The 19917-nt window shown below is 52.4% G+C and overlaps 1 protein-coding gene across 2 annotated transcripts in view, besides 1 other annotated feature; it reads right to left on the bottom strand.

Annotated features, from left to right (window-relative positions):
* The window catches only part of MPPED1 (metallophosphoesterase domain containing 1), a 95835-nt gene that overhangs the window by 56649 nt on the left and 19269 nt on the right, over positions 1-19917 (bottom strand). For both annotated transcript variants that reach the window (NM_001044370.2, NM_001362786.2), the window contains exon 3: positions 15985-16166. In NM_001044370.2, the coding sequence (NP_001037835.1) occupies positions 15985-16166 (182 nt within the window). The remainder of the gene's footprint in view (positions 1-15984; positions 16167-19917) is intronic.
* Positions 1663-1862: a silencer, noted in NCBI's record as "peak4505 fragment used in MPRA reporter construct". NCBI's record gives its function as "represses an SCP1 promoter by STARR-seq MPRAs in K562 erythroleukemia cells {active_cell/tissue: K562}" and the evidence as "EXISTENCE:reporter gene assay evidence [ECO:0000049][PMID:32103011]".

Genomic DNA, 19917 nt, shown 5'->3' with positions numbered 1-19917 from the left:
CCCAGTCTCTATTAAAAATACAAAAATTAACTGGGTGTGGTGGCGCACGCCTGTAGTCCCAGCTACTCAGGAGGCTGACGCAGGAGGATCGCTTGAACCTGGGAGGCTGAGGTTGCAGCGAACCGAGATGGCCCCACTGTACTCCAGCAAGACTCCATCAAAAAAAAAAAAAAAAGCCAGATGCAGTGGCTCACACCTGTAATCCCAGCACTTTGGTAGGCCAAGGTGGGCAGATCACCTGAGGTTGGGAGTTCGAGACCAGCCTGACCAACATGGAGAAACCCCATCTCTACTAAAATTATAAAATTAGCTAGGCGTGGTGGCACATGCTTGTAATCCCAGCTACTCGGGAGGCTGAGGCAGGAGAATCGTCTGAACCCGGGAGGCAGAGGTTGTGGTGAGCCAAGATGGCACCATTGCACTCCAGCCTAGGCAGCAAGAACGAAACTCTGACTCAAAAAAGAAAGAAAAAAAAAGTCTACCATCAACTGAGCCATCTACTCTATGCCAGGCATTTTAGATTTAGATGTGTTCACAAAACCACCACCAGAGCAATGGCTGCCTGTGTTATGCATTTACCCCATGCCAGGCCCTATGATGAGCCCAGATCACCCGCTGCCTCACTGAACTCTCCCAATATCAGCTCCCTTTGATAGATGAGAAAACTGAGGCTCAGAGAGCAGACAGAACATGCCCAAGGCCATATGGCTGGGAAGAGCAGAGCCAGGATCCAAACTCGAGAGGTCTCTCAGGACCCACGAGGCTAAGCAGAATCCCAGCTGCAATGCCTTATTCAATCCTCACAACAGCCCTCCAAAGCAAGTGTGTCGCCCCATTTTTTAGGTGAAGACACTGAGGCACAGGGGAGTGATGACCTTCTCAGGGCTGCCCAGCAGGCATGTGGCCAGGCAGGACCGGGAGGGGGCCTGCCCATTCCTTTCCCCTGGCCCCTGTCTCATTCAGGAATTAAACTAGCCCAGGTCCACGGACATGACCACATCATGGCTCCCTCTGAAACCCAGATAAGCCCTGCAATGGGGAAGGCTCCAGAAGCCACAGAGAACACTGAGTGGGAGGGAGGTCACTGACACGTGAGAAGAATGGGGCTGGTCCCACCGAGGACAAGGGTTGGGGCGCTACGCCCTGCATGCATGCCTCCTCCCCATGGTACCTGCTGGTGTCCCTGGCTCTACAAACCACCGCCACCCGGCTGGGCCCGCCCATTCTGCAGCCCCATCTCTCCAGCTGCCTCCACTGCCTTTCTGCTTCTAGAATCCACCTCGCTCAGGAGGGATGGAAATAATGAAGAGTTTATGCTGCATCGCCTGGAACTTGCACTTCACCTGCATTATCTTGTTCGGGTCTCACCAAGGCCCTGTGAGAAACATCCCGTTACTTCCCCATTTTCCAAATGATAAAACTGAGGTCCAGGGAGGCTAAGTCACCTGCCCAAGGTCACACATCGAGGAGGCAAGGTGGCCCAGCTCTGGTTTCAGTTCAGAGTCTGAGCTCTCAACCATGTCCCCCTGATGCATGTGTGTGGCCCTCGGCACCCAACTCCCTCCCTCGCTGGGTGGCAGGTGGAAGAGTTCCAGGGTGCGGGGATGGGGCCGAGCAGGGGATCGAGGCAGGCGGAGGTCTAGCATATCCACAGTCTGCCAGGGCACACACAGGGCCCACATCTGGAACTCAGGGCCATAGGATAAGGGGATGAGTGCATTCCTTGACTTAGCCAATAACAACACTGAGAGCCTACTTGGAGGGGGGGCGGGGGGGGTTGGCACTGTCCGTGGTGCTGAAGATATGGCGGTGTACCTGACGATCCAGATCCCTGCCCTGGAGACCTGCGTGACCTCCAGAAACCACCTCTCCGCACTGGGCCTCAGTCTCCTCATCTGTCAAGTGGGGACAATATACTCAGGGCCCAGGATATCTGTTGCAAGGGATCGTGAGAAAACAACGTGAAAGTGCCTGTAAACTGTAAACTTCTGTCCAGAAGTCATTATTGCTGTTAAGCCCCCGTGTGACTTGGATACGAGGCTTTGCAGCAAAACGTGTATTTCGAATATGAAACGTAGGATGTAAAAATCCCTGTATCCCATCAGCAGCTGACACAGGACTTTTTTTTAGTTAGTCCTAAGCCTATAAAGCTTTACTGCTGACCATAAATATCAAAACCGTCTTGGAAACGAAGAATTTGCCTAAAAAAAAAGAGTCAGGGGCTGGCAGGGGATTTTCCAGATACACAAGAGTAGTTCCCATATACAAAAGGTCTCCTTAGCTATTAAAAACAAATAAAAAATGTAGGGCTGGTGGCTCACGCCTGTAATCCCAGCACTTCGGGAGCCCAAGGTGGATCACTTGAGGTCAGGAGTTCGAGACCAGCTTGGCCAACATGGTGAAACCCCGTCCCTACTAAAAATACAAAAATTAGCTGAGCATGGTGGCAGGTGCCTGTAATCCCAGCTACTCAAGAGGCTGAGGCAGGAGAATCACTTGAACCCTGGAGGCAGAGGTTGCAGTGAGCTAAGATCATGCCACTGCACTCCAGCCTGGGTGACAGAGCGAGACTCTGTCTCAATAAATAAATAAATAAATAAATAAATAAATAAATAAATAAAAAGATTTTAAAAGAGCCTAGACCTTGGGTTGGAATCCTGACTCCACTTTTCTTTGCCGTATGACCTTAGACAAGATTTCTCCCCGCTGAGCTCAGCTTTTGCACCTGCAAAGCAGAGACAGCAACAGCAGACACCTCCAGGGATGTCTAGATGTGTGGTCCAATGCAGCAGCCATGAACTCCCTGTGGACATTTAATTTCAAATCAGCTACAATGAAATAAAAATACAAAAGTCAGTTTCTCAGTCACACTAACTGAATTTTGAGTGCTCCATACCCACATGGGGGCTCGTGGTTACCACACTGGACAGCACAGATATACAGCTTCTCCACTCTCTCAGGAAGTTGCACAATGCTGGTGTCAGGCCCTGTTACTCAAAGTGTGATTCCCAGGATGGGCGCAGTGGCTTACGCCTGTAATCCCAGCACTTTGGGAGGCCAAGGCAGGTGGATCACTTGAGGTCAAGAGTTCAAGACCAGCCTCACCAACATGGTGAAACCCTGCCTCTAAATACAAAAATTAAAAATACAAAAATTAGCCAGGCGTGGTGGTGGGTGCCTGTAATCCCAGCTACTTGGGAGGCTGAGGCAGGAGAATTGCTTGAACCCGGGAGGCAGAGGTTGTAGTGAGCCGAGATCGCACCACTGCACTCCAGCCTGGGCAACAGGGCGAGACTTTGTCTAAAAAAAAAAAAAATATATATATATATATATATATATAATATTTACATATATAAAATATTTTTATATTTATATAAAAATATAAATATATATATATATAAGTGTGCTCCCCAAGAGTCCTCGGGAGAACAGAGAAGGGGCATACCCTGGGAGCTCATTAGAAATGCAGAATGTCATGCCCTCCCGAGACCTATGTAATCTGCACTTGAGCACTGAAGTGTGAGATAGGCCAGTCGTGAGGATAAAGGAGAGACCAGGAGGGGAGACGCCCCTCTACATGAACAATAACAGCACCTGCTGGTTTCCACTCTCTCTAAGTGGCGATCGTATTCTCCAAATGGAACTAGTCCCCGGGCTTCTGACAACGTTTATGCTGAGTGCAGGTGCAGGAGGCAGGCAGGCAGGGGCAGGTTGCATAGACAGGGAGATGGTGGAAACTTCCAGACATTTCAGAAGTTTATGTGCACGCGGGGACACAGTATTTTAATTCTGTGCTGGCCAGGATTTTCTGGCTTGTTCATTATTCCTGTTCTGGAATAAAATCCTGTATGAAAATGACATTTTAAAAAATCTACAGGCTTGTTTCATATCCAAACACCTCTCTCCATGTTTGTGAAAAGAGAGAAAAAGCATGTCAGTAAGAAAATCTTGCTTCCACCAACTTCTGAACAACCAACCAGCAATTTCTCCCCAAAGGGTCCACAGCCTTGAATGAGCTGGAGAGAAGCGGCACAGGAAGAGGAAGACTCACACGAGGGAACCTGGCACAGCCCCAGACTGCACGCTTGGCATACATCCTCTCTCATCCGCAGAACCACCAGCAGGGGGGAGGAAGGCACCGCCACCCTCCATTACACAGGAAAGTCACCTGCCCTCCGTCTCACAACTGGGAGGCAGGTGAGCTGCAAGTTAAGCCTACATGGTCCAACTTGGTCCCCGGCTACCACTTCCCCCTGTCCTGTCTCCATCGTTCATGGTGTTTTCTTGTTTGTGTGGCTCTCAAGTGGAAGTCTTGCTTGATTTGCTGCCCACGGTATCTCTGGTGTCTGGCACAGGGTGTAGAACAACACAGAGGTGCCACAAATGTTTGTTGAGTGAATGAATGATTGCAAACCAAAGGCAAGTAGCAGCTTCAGCCTTGCGCCCTAGGTTAGCCTCAACCCTTGAGCTGGAAGGCCTGTGCTCATACTTCATGTGTCCAAGCACTGCCCAAATGCCCAGGCCGCCTCACTTGCCACCTCCTGCATGAAGCCCCCCAAGCTTCCCTACTGGGTCCCATCCCCCATCTGGACTCAGTTTCTTCCACTCACTTGCTCAGACTCTCCGTGGGGTTCCAGCCACATCTTCCCATGTGCCGTCAACACCCCCAACTCAGAGTTGCTGCCTCTGCCCAGACATGGGCACGGCTGGCTGCCTCCATTCAGATCTTCATGCAAACATCCCCTCAGCAGAGGGTCCGGCCCTTCCCCATCCCTTCATGTCCCCTCAGCCTGAACACCCCCATCATATGACAGCTGTTTATCCACAGCCTGTCTTCTCCCCTGACTCACAAAGGCAGGAACTAGTTTTGTTCACTGCTGCATCCCCAGTGCCTAGAATCACGCCCAGTGCAGAAAATGTGCTCAGGAAACATCTGTTGAGTAAATAATCAAGTGCAACCTGGAAAACAAATACTAATAACTATGACTAGTTTGAGGCAGAGTTAAAAATGCATTAAAAGTAAACACCAGGCTGGGTGCAGTGACTCATGCCTGTAATCCCAGCACTTTGGGAGGCCAAGGCAGGCAGATCGCTTGAGCCCAGGAGTTCGAGACCAGCCTGGGCAACATGGTGAAACCCCGTCTCTACAAAAAATAGAAAAATCAGCCGGGTGTCGTGGTGCATGCCTGTAGTCCCAGCTACTAGGGGGGCTAAGGCGGGAGAATCACCTGATCCCAGGAGGTTGAGGCTGCAGTGCGCCATGATCACACCACTGCACTCCAGCCTAGGACCCTGTCTCAAAAAAAAAAAAAAAGAAAATGTAAACACCAGGCTAGGCACAGTGGCTCATGCCTGTAATCCCAGCACTTTGGGAGGCCGAGGTAGGCAGATTGCCTGAGCCCAGGAGTTCGAGACCAGCCTGGGCAAAATGGTAAAACCCCATCTCTAAAAAAATACAAAAATTAGCCAGGCATGGTGGTGCATGCCTGTAGTCCCAGCTACTCGGGGTGAGGTGGGGGACTAAGACGGGAGGGTTGCTTAAGCCCAGGAGGTCAAGGCTGCAGTAAGCAATGATTGTGCCACCGCACTCCAGACTGGGCAACAGAGTGAGATCCTGTCTGCAAAAAAAAAAAAAAAAAAAGGAAACATCAGACAGCAAAGATATAGATAAGATGGCAGCAAGAGGGGGCAGGGTACGTGTGTCCTCAGGTTCTTCAGGGAGGAATGGAGATGTTGATTAATTTTAGGCTGTGTTAAGTCTGATACACACGTTAAAAATTTATGAGTAACTACTAAACAAATCAAAAAAGAATACAAAATTTCCAAACCAGTAGAGGCGAAAAAAAGAAACTTCAATCAATCAATCCAAAAGAAGGCGGAGGTGGGGGGGATAGAAAGCACAAAATGAATGACAGAAATGGGCATGTTTTATACACCAGGTAACTAAATAAATATTTGTTGTTATTATCCAAATACAAAAGCCTTTACCAAGGTCCTTCCACACAGAAATAAGGAGGGCACAGGAATAGGCCTTCAAGTTACTCCCAGTGGAATGAGATGGATGTCAAACATGCTACAGAGGACCCATCAGAGGAGCTGGCACATCTCCCAATAATCAGGGCCATTAATCAAATTACCTTCTTCACTTTGGCCCCCAGGAAGCTCAGACCCTAGTTAACCACTTACAGCCCACATAGCACTGGGTACTGGAATTCTAGGCCCTCCGTCTGAGCTACTCTAACTTTTTTTTCAACCCTGGCTTTTAATTTATCATCAATATTCTACCCATTTTACTATTTTTGTCATTTTTATAAACTATCTCCAACTCTTTGACACAAAATGAGATATAAACAAGCAAACAAAAAATCCAAATGAATAACAAACTACACAAAATTAAGCCACACAAGAACTTTCAGACAGTCCAGGACTTTCAGAGAAATGAATCTCTCTACCCTGCTTAGATTTTTTTTTTAAGTTTTTAATTTTAAGGCAGAGATACTTAGGATAATGGTCTTCAAAAAAAATAAAGAAATAAAGGGCCAGGCATGGTGGCCTATGCCTATAATCCCAACACTTTGGTAGGCCAAGGCAGGTGGGCCACCTGAGTTCAGGAGTTCAAGACCAGCATGGCCAACATGGTGAAACCCCGTTTCCACAAAAAATACAAAAATTAGGCATGGTGGCTGGCTCCTGTAATCCCAGCTACTCGGGAGGCTGAGGCAGGAGAATCATTTGAACCCGGGAGGGGGAGGTTGCAGTGAGCTGAGATCGCGCCGTTGCACTCTAGCCTGGGTGACAGGGCAAGACTCCATCTCAAAAAAAAAAAAAAAAAAAAGATAGATAGAAAGAAAAAAACACCACTGCATAACATGTTTGATACACACACACACACACACACACACACACACACACACACACACCCCAGTGGGTCTCATTTCATTTCCAAAGCCATTTTGTTGTAAATAGATAATTATCACTTAAGCATACCTTTCAAGGGGTTTATACATTAACATGAAAATACTGTAATTATGGCTGGCCAAAATCACTTGACTACAACTTAGAATTCTAGATTTTTCATCTTTCTTAGAAGTTAATTTTCTTCCTTTTAGCCCCTACAACACAGCATGGCTTGTGAGGAATTTTTTTGATGAAGAATATAGAAAATTAATTTTTTAAATGAAGATCAAACCTCTGCTGCACAAGCCATCCATTTTTCTTCTGAGCCTTGATCTCACTCTCCAGGTGGTCACTCAGTTTATCAATCACACTGGCCATGTGCGTACGCAACCAAAATCCCTGGACACCAACAGCGCCCCATCAGAGAGTGCCGGAGGTGACAAGAGGCTCCAGAGTTTAAAAGTAAAATTATTTTTAAAATATTCAATCTCAAGTCTTTGCAAGAATAACAATGTGTGTCTGGAAATGTCTGAATCAGGCCGTAGCAACAGAATCCATTTTAAGTCTGCTGTACACTTTCAGAGAGAATTCTTGTTAGCTCTTTAAAAAAAAAAAGTTGGTTGGACTTTTTTTTTATCAAAGTGATCACATCATAAAATTTGTCTTCTCTTTCCTCATTCCTTTAACAAATATTTGTCAAATGCCCACCTCATGCCAGGCTGCCAGGCCCTAAGTATACCAGGTCAGCCATCTCCCTCGCCCCTAACTTCATACCCCACCAGCAAATTCTGTTGATTCCACTTCCAAACCAGAGCCAAGCCTCTACTGCACTCTCCCTGGGCCACCTCCAGGTCCAGCCTGAGCTACCCTGGCCTCTCGCAGACACCTGCACCAGCCTCTCCTGGTACCCTGGCGTCCTCTCCTGCCTGCTACAGTCAGGCTCCACCCAGAAGGGTCCTTCAGAAACCCGAATCAGACCTTGTCCTCCCTGCCTAAGCCCCCCAGTGGCCTCTAGAATAAAATCCATGCCCTCGTCCCAGCTGGTCAGCGGCCCAGGATCACCAGGATCAGGCCCACAGGCCTCCACTGTGCAGCAGGAATTCAGAGCTGGGTCCTTCTCCGTGCATGACCCTCCCAGGGGGGCCTTCCCCAGCCATCTTATGTCAAGGAGCTTTCCACTCCAGTCACCACCAGCCTACCCTGTGCATTGATCAATTCTCTTCACTCTGCTTGCTATTTACCACCTATGACTGCATTCAACCTCAGGCCACCCAGGCAGGGACAATCCTGTGCCATCCATCACTGAATCTCCAGCACCAAAGCAGTGAACACAGTAGCCCCTCACGCTGTGTTGACTGAGATGCACGTAGACCCCTGCCCTGGTCCCCAGCAGTCACAGCCCCGCGGGAGAGGCGAGAGATCTACTAACCCATGCTGGGGGCTCTGACACTGGGAGGTACGTGAACCGGCAGGGCCCTAAGTGCCAGGAGGGGCTGAGTTCACACAGGGTGCACACACGGTCTCATCTGATTGAGGTGGACGCTCCATGAGGGAGAAGGGAGGCCAGCTGGCTGATGAGGGCAGAATCAGAAGTGGCCCCACATCCCTGACCTCCAGTGCTTGGTGCCCTGCACTGGGGAGAGGCTGCCAGTCCTGACAGAGCCAGCATGAGGCCTGATGGACTGCCCCTGCAGAGCTTGGCACCCCATTCCCAGGAAGACTCCAGTCCCACCCGACCGCACCCTCCATGCATAGAGAACAGCTCCACCTCCCGGAGGCAGGAGCAGCCCCGCACAGGGGCGGGTGCCCAGGTACTAGCTTTAGGTCCTGATCTATTACGGGGGATGCCCACCCAGCACACTCTGCAGCAGTCAGAAGGGGCAGCCACGGGGCAGGATCTTGCAGTGCTCAAGTCAGGAAAGGGAGGAAGAGCGAGGTGCACCCAGGCAGGAAGGAGCATGGGAGAGAAGGAGGGAGCTTGTGCATGCTGTTCATTGGGTGGGGAGGTGGGAAGAAGGGAGGGGAAAAATAAAGAAACAAAAGCAGGGACTTGCACAAGCTGCAGGGGACAGACAGCCATGAACTCTGGGATGGGGACCTTCCCATCCGCATCCAAGGTTGGTTTCCGCACCCCCAAGTAGAAGAGAGGAGGCCAGAGAGTAGACTGGAAAGGACAGACAAATTATGAGAGGGGCGTGGAGGGGGGTCAACCACCAGCTTGCACCAGAAAGTACTTGTTTCCCACACATGATCCTAATTACCATGCCTGTGAGCTGCCTCCTGCTCCTGCAAGGGGAGGGCGAGGCCCCACCTGCTCCTTTCTGAAGCCCCCGACCTCCACTTGGAACCTTGAACAGAGAAGGTGCCCATTCCGCCGGCAGGCGCCCTGGGATTAAATCACAAAGAGGCAAAACGATTGTGTGTGGCCCATTTCCAGGCAAACCCCCTGCAGCCTCAGACCTTCCATGCAGTGGCAAATGAGGCAAGAACCAAAGAAACTGCCTTGACGTAAATTCTCCATTTCCCTTTCTCCCCCTTCCTCCCTCATGGATTTTAATTAAGGGTTTACTTGCAAAAGACCTAGTTCTATTTCACTAAATCCTTGGACCCCTTTTATATTGTCTCATATATCGTGTTATGCTCAGGCGCCAGTGCAAACTTAATTATAACTTCTAAATACTCCATTACCAGGCCCTCATCTTCCTCCCCTGCCTGAGTCTGCTAAGGGTAGTGCCACTTAATTAATGGGCCCATCATGTGCTTTACAGACCACGCTTTTACAACAAACACCCCTGGGCACCTCGGCACCAGGCTGGGCTGGGCTCTGAGGACCCGTGCTGACCAGGGTATGGTCTCCGCCCTGGAGTGGCTCACAGAAGCTGCAGGAGGAAGGGAGGCCAGTAGGCTGGCACACAGAGCACCCACAGCAGCTCAGCAGGTGACACAGTGGGCAGAGGGGACAGTGGGCAGGACAGACGATAGCAGTGTCACAATCACAATAGATGATTGCAGACGTCAGCCTCAAAGGGAAAGGAGAGGGGACATAGGAGCCCTGACTGAGAGGGTCCCAAATGCCATAGTGAAGTGCTTCATCTTACTACATAGCCTAAGGGGATGGGTCAGAGGTTTGGGAGTTCAGTTTGGGACAGAACTAGTCTAAAACCCTGGCAGACACCCAGGAGGAGGTGTTTTGTAAGAAGACTAGACAATGCAGTGGCTGGATGAGAGAGATGGAGGCATTCTGCAGGTCTGGGTGGAGCTAGAGCTGGGGGGTCTGAGTGGTTAGTTGTCATTTGGAAAGAAGGTGGGTGAGAGGCCTAAGGATGGACCCTAGGAGAAGCCCCCTTCAGTGGGCAGGAGGGGAATGAGGAACAAAAGGAGGAGATGGAAAAGGGCCCTGGAGAGGGAGGCCACATGGAGCCTGTGGCAGAACCCACACTAGAGGAACCTGCATCCAGCATCAGGCGCCGCAGAGCTGAGGGGAGGAGAGGCCAGCCAGTACAAAGCCACCTGTGGCCTCTGGCAGTCACTCCCAAGGGTGGCGCAGGGTCCTCAGGCTGTGGGGGCTAGGGGTGAAGTGAGGGCTGTGGAGGGTGCAGTGAGGGCTGCGGAGGCTGCAGGCTTCCTGTGGCTGGGGGTGGGGAGGCCAGCCTGGCACCTGCCAGTCACAGAGAGGGAACTTTCTGGCATCTTGCAAATCCCAGCTCAGGAACTGACAGTTCTTGCAGGCATGGCTGTCACTCAGAGATGGCAGCAGAATTTGGACCTGGCATTCTTGCCTTGGGAAAGATGTGGGCAGTGCCAGGGCCTTGGGGTCAGTGGCTGCCTCTGTAGGGCATCCTGGGAGGAGGGTGCTTCTGGGTGTTCAGCCTCCCCTCCTGCCCTCAGCACCCTGGCCTCCAGGGGGGCCTGCATGCTAGCACATTTCATCAGGTCCAGAGCACCTGTGGCCCCAGCTTCTAGCCTCGTCCTTGAGACCCCAACTCAACTTACGCTCCCTGAGTCTTCTCAGATCACTTCCCAAGTCGTGTGTGGCAACAGCGATGGCTCACACTGGTCTGTGTCACAGCGCTGCCCTCCTTGAAGCTCCCATTTACTGGTGGCCTACCCAGTGGCATTCAGGCATGCCCTGCCCTGCTGGGGTCACCATGGCCAGCTGACAGACAGGGCTGCGTCAGCGGGGTCAGCATGCCACTCACGGCTGCACATTCCTCTCTGTCCAGGGCTCCGCTGGCTGGCGCTGGACATGAAGCCTTGACCCTCCCCTTCAGGGGCTGACAGTGGAGGTAGGAGACACGCCCCCGCCGCAAGGCGAGAGCCACCAGCAGAGCCTAGACCAGGAGCTCTGGGCGTACAGAGGAGCAGGGAACAGCTCTGCCCAGCGGGGTTGGGGGAGGCTTCACAAGGGGCAGCTCTGGAGGGGTGAGTGGAGCGTGGGCCCCGGACCAGGGAGGGGAGCTTATTCTACGAGTGAGGAGTCCAGCTGGACGGTGTGGCTGGAGGGAAATGGTGCTGCTGGTGTTGAAGTTGAGGAGTCTGTTTTGTGTGGGGCAAGGATCTGGGAGTGGCAAGTTGTTCACCGTGACAGATGTTTCACAATGACAGGGATCCTGTGGTGCCCGGACTGTGCAAAGCACTGCGTGGGAATACTATTCATCAACCCTTCCCCACAGCCCTGGGGCAAGAAAATAATTCTCCCCGTTCTACAAGTGAGGCACAGAGAGGTTGAGAGACTGGACTGAGGTAACACAGCAAAGAGGAGGAAACAGGGGTGAAGACAGCTGCCTGGCCTCCAGCCGCCCCACCTCCCTGCACTGGCACTGCTGACTGATCCATCCAGGCTGTGAGCTCCCTGTGGCTGGTGAGGAGCAAGGAACCACCTGCACATTCTTTGCCATTTTCAGCAAGTTTTGCTTTTGCGTTCACTCTTTATAGCTGGAGAACTTGTCCTTATCCATCTTTTAGCTGCTTACTCGACATTTACAAATCAAGCTGCCACTTCTATTTCATGAATACATTTGGGATATTAATGGCCAAGGGGGAAAAGGGGCTGCTCAGAGGGACTCTTTCATCCCAACCCGTCCCCCTCCCATGAACGCAGACCCAGCTAGAAGCCGGCAAACGGGCAATGCATAGACACCAGTCACAGCCGAGCTGACAGCAACGCACCTCACAGCAAGTTAGAGTCCGCAGGAATTTAACCACGCAGAGCCCCGTTAGATGTCTTGTCTTGTCTTATACGGTAGGTCTTTATTAATTTTTTAAATCTCTTCCTGTCTGTCTGGAGGTGGCTCCCAGAATATGATTTCAAATGCTTTCCATGAGATCAATGAACAGGGAAGGAGCAAGTTGTGAATTTCAAATCTATAACTTTCTCATCCAGGAGAAGGGGCTGAGCCAGTGGGTGGGCGAGGTGGGCAAGGTGATGAGGTGGGTGTGCAAAGGTCTCCCGCCCTGTCGGCTGGGGAAGGGGCTCATGGAGGCCCTTGAGCGGCCAGGATTGACCCAAGGCCCAGCGCTGTCCCATCCCTTCTGTGACACACTTGGCACCAGACACCCAGGAGCGTTGCCTTTGTTTGAAATTACCAGAAAAACACACCCCTCCCCTATAGAAAATCAGACACAGAGAGAGAGAGAGACAATCCTAAAGAAGAAGGTAAAACCCCATGAGCCCACCACCCAGACATCGACTCTGGAACATTCTGGAGCTTTAGCCCTCACCAGGTACACTCTGGTTCTACAATCCATCATGGCCTTTGAAAAGCTTTCTAAAGGTCATCCCCATACAAAAACCTTCCCAAAGCTCCCCCTGCCCTTAGGATCAGCCCCACACTCTTGTCCGAGGCCCAGGAGGCCTGTGTGGACCAGTGCCTGCCCCACTGCCCTGCTTCTCCCACTTCCCAACACTCCTAGTGCTCTCTGCTCCCACCCCAGGGCCCCTGCAGCCTCCGCGTCCTCTGCCTGGAACGGGTCCTGCCCAGAGCTGCACAAGGCTGCCTCATTCTCACCCTCAGGCCTGGCCCAACATCCCCTCCTCAGGGAGGCCTTCCGTGCCCACCCAGCTGAATGGCCATCACCACACGTCCCCAGGTGGGTCCCAGACAGACCCCATAGCTCTCTCTAATGAATGGCTCCCGTGCCGCCCTCATGGCTATGAAGCCACCGTCCCCTCGCATCAGGCTGAGTGGGGCCCTGTGTGCTCAGGGCCTACTGTTACCCCAGGGCTTGCGACACACCTGGCACCTCGTGGGCTCTCAGTGAGGCTCAGCAATAGGATGACGGAATGTTTCTTTCCAGTCTCTTTTTCTCTGTGTCTGCTGTTGGGAGGGCGGTTGCTAGCTGAGACTACACGTCCACATCTCTCAGGAACTCCACATGCTGTAACACATGTGTTGTTCCACTGCCTTCCCTGCCAACTCAACCTCAAGGTTCAGGTCCAATGTCTTCCTCCCAACACCCCACCCCTACCCAGGGGAGCCCAGATCTGGTAGACGCCAGTTCATGGGGGCAATCATAACAGGTATACAGCACTTTACATTTTGCAAGGTGATTCTTTCCTCCATTCCAACAGAGCCTCAAAACAACATTTGGAGGGATGCGAGGCAGGGGAGCCTAACCGCCCCCTTTTAAAATGAGGCCCAGAGGGGCCACGTGGCTGCTGTGGTCACCCAGGCAGGAAGCAGATCCAGACTCCAAATGCATCGCCTACACCCTTACTTCCAATCAGCATCGTCCACACCCTTACTTCCAATTAGGGAGGCTTCACCTCAAGAAGGAGAGGCAACACAGAGCTATACCAAGAGTTCAGCACTGGGGTCCCACTGCCCAGTTCTGCCATTTACAAGCTGTGTGACTTTGGGTAAGTGGCTTCACTTCTCTGGGACTTGGTTTTCTCCTCTGTAAAATGGGAATGATAATAGTTCCTGCCTCATTGTCAGGAGGATTAAATGAGTTACTAATACATGCGAAGGGTATAGAACAGCACCCAGCACATACTAAATGCTCAGTAAACCTGAGCTTCATAGAAAAAACGACCCTGTCCAAACGCACCAAATAGGTGCACAGTCCATCTCTCAGCCATGATCACCAAACTCTGGGGACCTGGCCCACCGGCCAACCAAGGTGTCTCGCTTTGTGCAGTGGGTGAGTTCCCAAAATACCAGCAGCAAATGGGCTTCGATTCATGCTCTCACCCCCATGCAAATGCTCCTCCTCCCTCAGTCTGAAGCCCATTCCTCCTTGAGTGAGGGTCCTGACATCTGCAAACACTTCCAGGCAGCAAAGGGGCGAGGCCTGAGGGAAAGAACCTTTTGTAAAAGGAAGACCCCTTTACAAGTTGTAAGTTCACACTTTCCACCCATCATGGGCACCTGGAAAGCCAGGCTGTGTGTGAGAGACAGTCCCCACCCTTCAGAACCTCCATTCTCCTCTGTCAAATAGGGACGCAAATGGTAGCCACCTCAAGTAGCTGTTCCCAAATTCAACAAGGCAGAGGTGGTAAGAGCCTGCCACCCCGTGCCTGGCACACAGCGGGGGCTTGGCCCACAGCGACTCCAGCCTCTCTGCCCTGGAAACGGCCTCTTGACTCCACCAAGTGGAACCTCCTGTCTTTTGAAACCCACAGCAGACGGGACAAGCAGCCTCCCTCGGGGAAGGGGCCCCTCCTGGGAGGCAGCCCAGAACTGGAGCCAGTGTGGGCAAGGGGAGAATCCCAGAGAAGGACTTCAGGAGCCCTGTCCCCCGGCCTGCACTTCCTGCAGCCCAAACAGGGCCTTTGATTAGAATTTCCCGTTTGAAAAATCAATATTTAAAGCCCTCTGCCTGCCAAACAGAAGGGAAGGCCTTGCTTGTAAATATTTGTCTCGCCTGGCAGAGTCGGGCCCCTGGCTCACCGCGGCTGCCCTGCCTCACTCCTGGCCCTCTGCTTGTGCAGTCCCAGCCAACTGCACAGCGGGACGCCCCTGGGGAGGCGGAAGGGACCGTCTGGCAGCCACGTGGGGCTGCGCAGGAAGGTGAGCGGCCCCGCACCCACGCCTCCACGGCAGCAGGCCTGGGTGCTGGGCTGCACAGGGGCCATCCATCTGTCTTCCCCGGGTGGGGACAGAGATGCCTCACTGTGAGATTTCTCTGGATTCCAAGGCAAGCGAGTTTTCCCAGGGGGTCCCCTAGGTTTATTTCTTATTTTTGAAAAAAAGCACAAAGACAAAACCCAGAGGATGTGCTTATAAGTCATCACCCACCATGGCGCAGTGCATGGGAAAGGGCTCTGCTGCCGAGACCAGCAGCTGCTCACATCTGGCCCCTGGAGAAACCATCTCCATGGCAGTGGGTGACTGAGCTAGGATGAACCAGCTGAGCACCTACCCTGGCACCACCATTCTGTGTGTCACTCATGCATTCACCCACTCAGCCATTCATTCATTCATTCATCAATTTCTTTTCTTTTGAGACAGAGTCTCACTCTGTTGCCCAGGCTGGAGTGCAGTGGAGTGATCTGGGCTCACTGCAACCTCCACCACCCAGGTTCAAGCAATTCTCCTGCCTCAGCCTCCGATGTAGCTGGGATTACAGGTGCCCGCCACCACACCCAGCTAATTTTTGTATTTTTAGTAGAGACAAGGTTTCACCATGTTGGCCAGGCTGGTCTCAAACTCCTGACCTCAGGTGATCCACCAGCCTCAGCCCCACAAAGTGCTAGGATTACAGGCATGAGCTGCTGCACCCGGCCTCATTCATCAATTATTTATTGAGGCCCTACCTTTGCCAGGCACTGGGGCCTGGACACATAAATGGACAAAGACATGAGCAAAGTCCCTTTTGGAGGGGGTCTTCCAGGCCAAAAAAAAAAATCCCACAAACAAATGGAAAGTCACAACCAAGACAGATGCTGGAGGAGGAGAGGTCCAAGGTGGATGGGAGAGAAAGGGGCACCTGCTCTGAGAGGTCAGGGAGGGTGACCAGGCAGGCACAGGCCAAGGAGGGGGCCCGGGCAGCGCAGGAGGGAAAGGCAGGCAGGCAGCCTCGGGAGCTGGCGGGAGCCCCCTTCCTGCTCAGCACAGCCGCCCGCCCGGGGCAGGAGGGACCTACCCAGCCACTCGTTGAACTTCTTCACCTCGCTCGGGAGCCCCAGCTCAGTGAAGTCCCCAGCGTGGATCAGCACGTCGCCGTACGGCATCTGGATGGGGTCCGTCCTCGAGTGGGTATCAGAGACGCAGACGAAGCGGGTGTAGCCTGGAGGTTTGGGGGCATCGTGAGGCACCGGGTCCACCCTGCAGGGAGAGATGACACTGCGGATCAGGAGGCCATGGAGCCGCGAGCCTGCGGGTGGTGTGTCTGCAGCCCCATCCACCACAGCTCACAGCCCCATCAATCCCGCTCAGATCCACCAGACCAGGGACTGGACGCCCAGCCTTCCCAGGGGTCCACCCCGGCCCGAATCCTGACTTCTCTCATCTTTAGCCAGGCAAAGCATGTTTGGCCCCCAAGCCTCAGTTTCCCTGTCTGTAACATGGAAACGTCGGGTTGGGGGGCTGTTGGGAAGGTTAAAGGGAGTGAGAAGTGGGTGCAGTGAGCATCTGCCCTCCGAGCTGAGGTGCTGCACAGCTTCCAGCCTTTTGTTCGTTATCACCGCCAGAGTGGCCTCTTCAAGATGTCTTTTATTTTCCCCTACTCACTTCCCTCCCATGAAGCTTTAGTACGGCATCACAGCGGTGCCGTACGTGTGTTTAGGTACCTCACATCCACCTCTGCTTTAGACAGAAGAGCAAGACGTTTTCTTCACTCCCCAAGCACCAGATTTTACCCTTTAGGGGCGCTATGGCCCCCACTGAGACCGCATGGAGTAAAGCCTGTGGTCGGGCGATGAGGACAACTGCCCGGGCTGTGCAGCGCACGTCCGCCGTCGCAGGACAGCAGCACGGGAGGGGGAGTTTCAGGAGAATGTGTGAAATAAAGACCCTAAAGGAAAGGAGTCCATTTCTCAAAACCGTAAGACAGTGTGATCATTTCTAGACCAAGGGCCTTCCAGGGCTGTGTCAGAAAACACTCCTGGAGTCAGAAGACCAGGCTTTCCACAGCCTGGGTCTGCACATCTGTAAAACGAAGCTACTTCACTGAGCAAAAATAACATTTTAAAAAGCGGCACAAATGTAGGTTCTTGTGCCTCAGGAGCCTATCGTGGCCCTCCCGTTTGACAGACGAGGATGCCAAGATCCAGCCGGGCTGAGCAAGCTGCCCTGGGCACCCCAGTGCAGAAATGTGGACGTGGGCTAAGACCCTGGCTCCCGGCACCCCGTGGGCTAAGACCCCAGCTCTCCATCCAGTGCGGTCTCCACTACACGTTGCCTCCCCAGGTGAATGGTTTTACCAGGCTCAAAACTCTTAAAAACAACGCAATGACATTTCAACAGCAGCTCTCTCCAAATGAGTATGCTGCTCGAGGAGTTGTGTTTAAATCTAATTATGCGGCAAACCAAAAGCGGTGCCATATCAGTTACATAAATACTTTTAAAGACATCTTTCTAATTATCCTTTTTTTTTTTTCAGACAATATACTTCGAAGAAATTTAATTAACACCTTACGAGAGACGTGGGTTCAGCATGCTAATGTGCAGGGCGCACTAGCGCGCTCCATCCGCCGCAGCCGGAGGCGCCGAGCCAGCCTCTCCCCACCACGATGCCGCGGCGGGAGCGCGCACCCGGGGCCCCTTCCTGGGGGTTGCTAGGCCTAGGGAGAATCCCAGCAAGTCAGAGCTGGTCTACGCTGGGAGGAAAATGAATATGAATCCGATGATGACCAACCAGGGAGGTGCTAGGAGCTTTTCCTCTTCTCCTCCATTCACTCATTCACTCACTCATTCACTCATTCACTGAATACAATACATCCTGAATGACTACCGTGTGCCAGCCCTGAGCTCAGCGCAGGGCCACAGGGATGAACCAGGCTGACCCCTGCTCACAACAAGCCCAGGGACTGATGGTGGCAGCAGATTTGGCCAGACGATGACAATACAGCCAGCACCTTTGACAGGGCAGCAGAGGGGACAGGGCGCAGAGAAGGCCCTAACCTGGCCTGGGGTCTTCTGGAAGCTTCCATCAGGGGTAGTGTCTGAGCTGGTCTGGAAGCTGAAATCTCCTTCCCAGAAATTCCCACCACTCTTCTGTCCTCTGGGGCCCCCAGTGACCCCCACTCCCCATGACAGACAGCTGGTGTGACCTACATACCCTGCCGCCCCCCCACACACAGCTGATCAGACCAAGGGCAGCCAATTGCTACTGGGCTACTGGCCTGGCACAGGAATTCAAGTGAGCCAATCAAATTCATTCATTCATATTCTCTCCCTCTCTCTCTCCTCCCTTTCTCTCTCTTTCCCTCTCTCTCTCCTCCCTTTCTCTTTCCCTCTCTCTCTCCTCCCTTTCTCTTTCCCTCTCTCTCTCCTCCCTTTCTCTCTCTCCTCCCTTTCTCTCTCTCTCCTCCCTTTCTCTCTCTCTCCTCCCTTTCTCTCTCTCTCCTCCCTTTCTCTCTCTCTCCTCCCTTTCTCTTTCCCTCTCCTCCCTTTCTCTCTCTCCTCCCTTTCTCTCTCTCTCCTCCCCTTCTCTCTCTCTCCTCCCTTTCTCTCTCTCTCCTCCCTTTCTCTCTCTCTCCTCCCTTTCTCTTTCCCTCTCTCTCTCTCTCCTCCCCTTCTCTCTCTCTTTCCCTCTCTCTCTCCTCCCTCTTTCCCTCTCTCTCCTCCCTTTCTCTCTCTCTCCTCCCTTTCTTTCTCTCCTCCCTTTATCTCTCTCCTCCCTTTCTCTTTCCCTCTCTCTCCTCCCTTTCTCTCCTCCCTTTCTCTCTCTCTCCTCTCTTTATCTCTCTCCTCCCTTTCTCTCCTCCCTTTCTCTCTCCTCCCTTTATCTCTCTCTCCTCCGTTTCTCTCTCTCTCCTCCCTTTCTCTCTCCCTTTCTCTCTCTCCTCCCCTTCTCTCTTTCCCTCTTTCTCTCCTCCCTTTCTCTCTCTCTCTTTCCCTCTCTCTCCTCCCTTTCTCTCTCTCTCCTCCCTTTCTCTCTCTTTCCCTCCCTCTCTTCCCTTTCTTTCTCTCTGTGTCTCTCTCTCTCTCTCTGTGTGCCTCTGAGGTTTTGAAGATGTCATAAGGTGACAAAGACTAAGTCAAAGAGACAAAGAGAGATGAAGATGGGAGAGACAGGGAGCACAATGCCACCCCCGAGCTGCTAGGGACCCGACAGTCTACCCTCTGGGAGCCCCGCCTAGCAGAGGAGCCCTAAGAGGGCCTCAGCTCCCACCCACCACCAGCCAGCCAAGAGCAGTGCGGTTCTGAGGGCTCTGGTTGGGCTGGGCCTGCTGCTGGAGCCAGAGATCTTTAATTAACTCCACTCATATTTCCCTGCACCCCGAGGCTTCTGGAGCACAGCGAAGAGGCAGACCTAGTCATCCCCAGAGAAAGAAATAGACTCTCATTTCCCGACACAGTCCCCCAGCTATTTGGATTGCAACAAATGCTCAACTTTGAAATAATAACAACAGTAATGATTTCAATGATCCCCACGCATCAAGAGCTCATTATGTGCTGGGCACGTTACAGGCAGTGGCTCTCTTCACCCTCATAATGACCATCTAAGCAGGGTACTATGGGTAGCCCCATTTTACAGGTGAGCAAACCAAGGCTCAGAAAAGGCTGACTTGTCCATGATCTTAGCTACAGGAGTTGGTGCAGCTGAAATTTGAAGCTGGTTTTTGGGTCCAGAACTCACACCAGGCTGGACTGTTACCAGGCTGGACTTCATTTCATTCAATCAACCTATGGACAAATCTTACTGAATGCCTCTAAATGCCAGGGACCTGCTTGGTATAAGGATACATCTGTGGGTGGGACACCCACAGAGGCCACCGGTGTGAAGATCCAGAAACCTGACTATGTTTGCAAGTGAAGGAAAGAGCAAAAAGAGTCAAAATATGGAGAAAGAGGCCAGGCACAATGCCTCACACCTGTATTCCCAGCACTTTGGGAGGCCAAGGTGGGTGGA

Source organism: Homo sapiens, chromosome 22, assembly GCF_000001405.40.
Source record: "Homo sapiens chromosome 22, GRCh38.p14 Primary Assembly".
NCBI classification, from domain to species: Eukaryota; Metazoa; Chordata; class Mammalia; order Primates; family Hominidae; genus Homo; species Homo sapiens.
The sequence above is the reverse complement of the archived record's forward strand: the minus strand, read 5'-3'. Positions and strand labels throughout refer to the sequence as shown.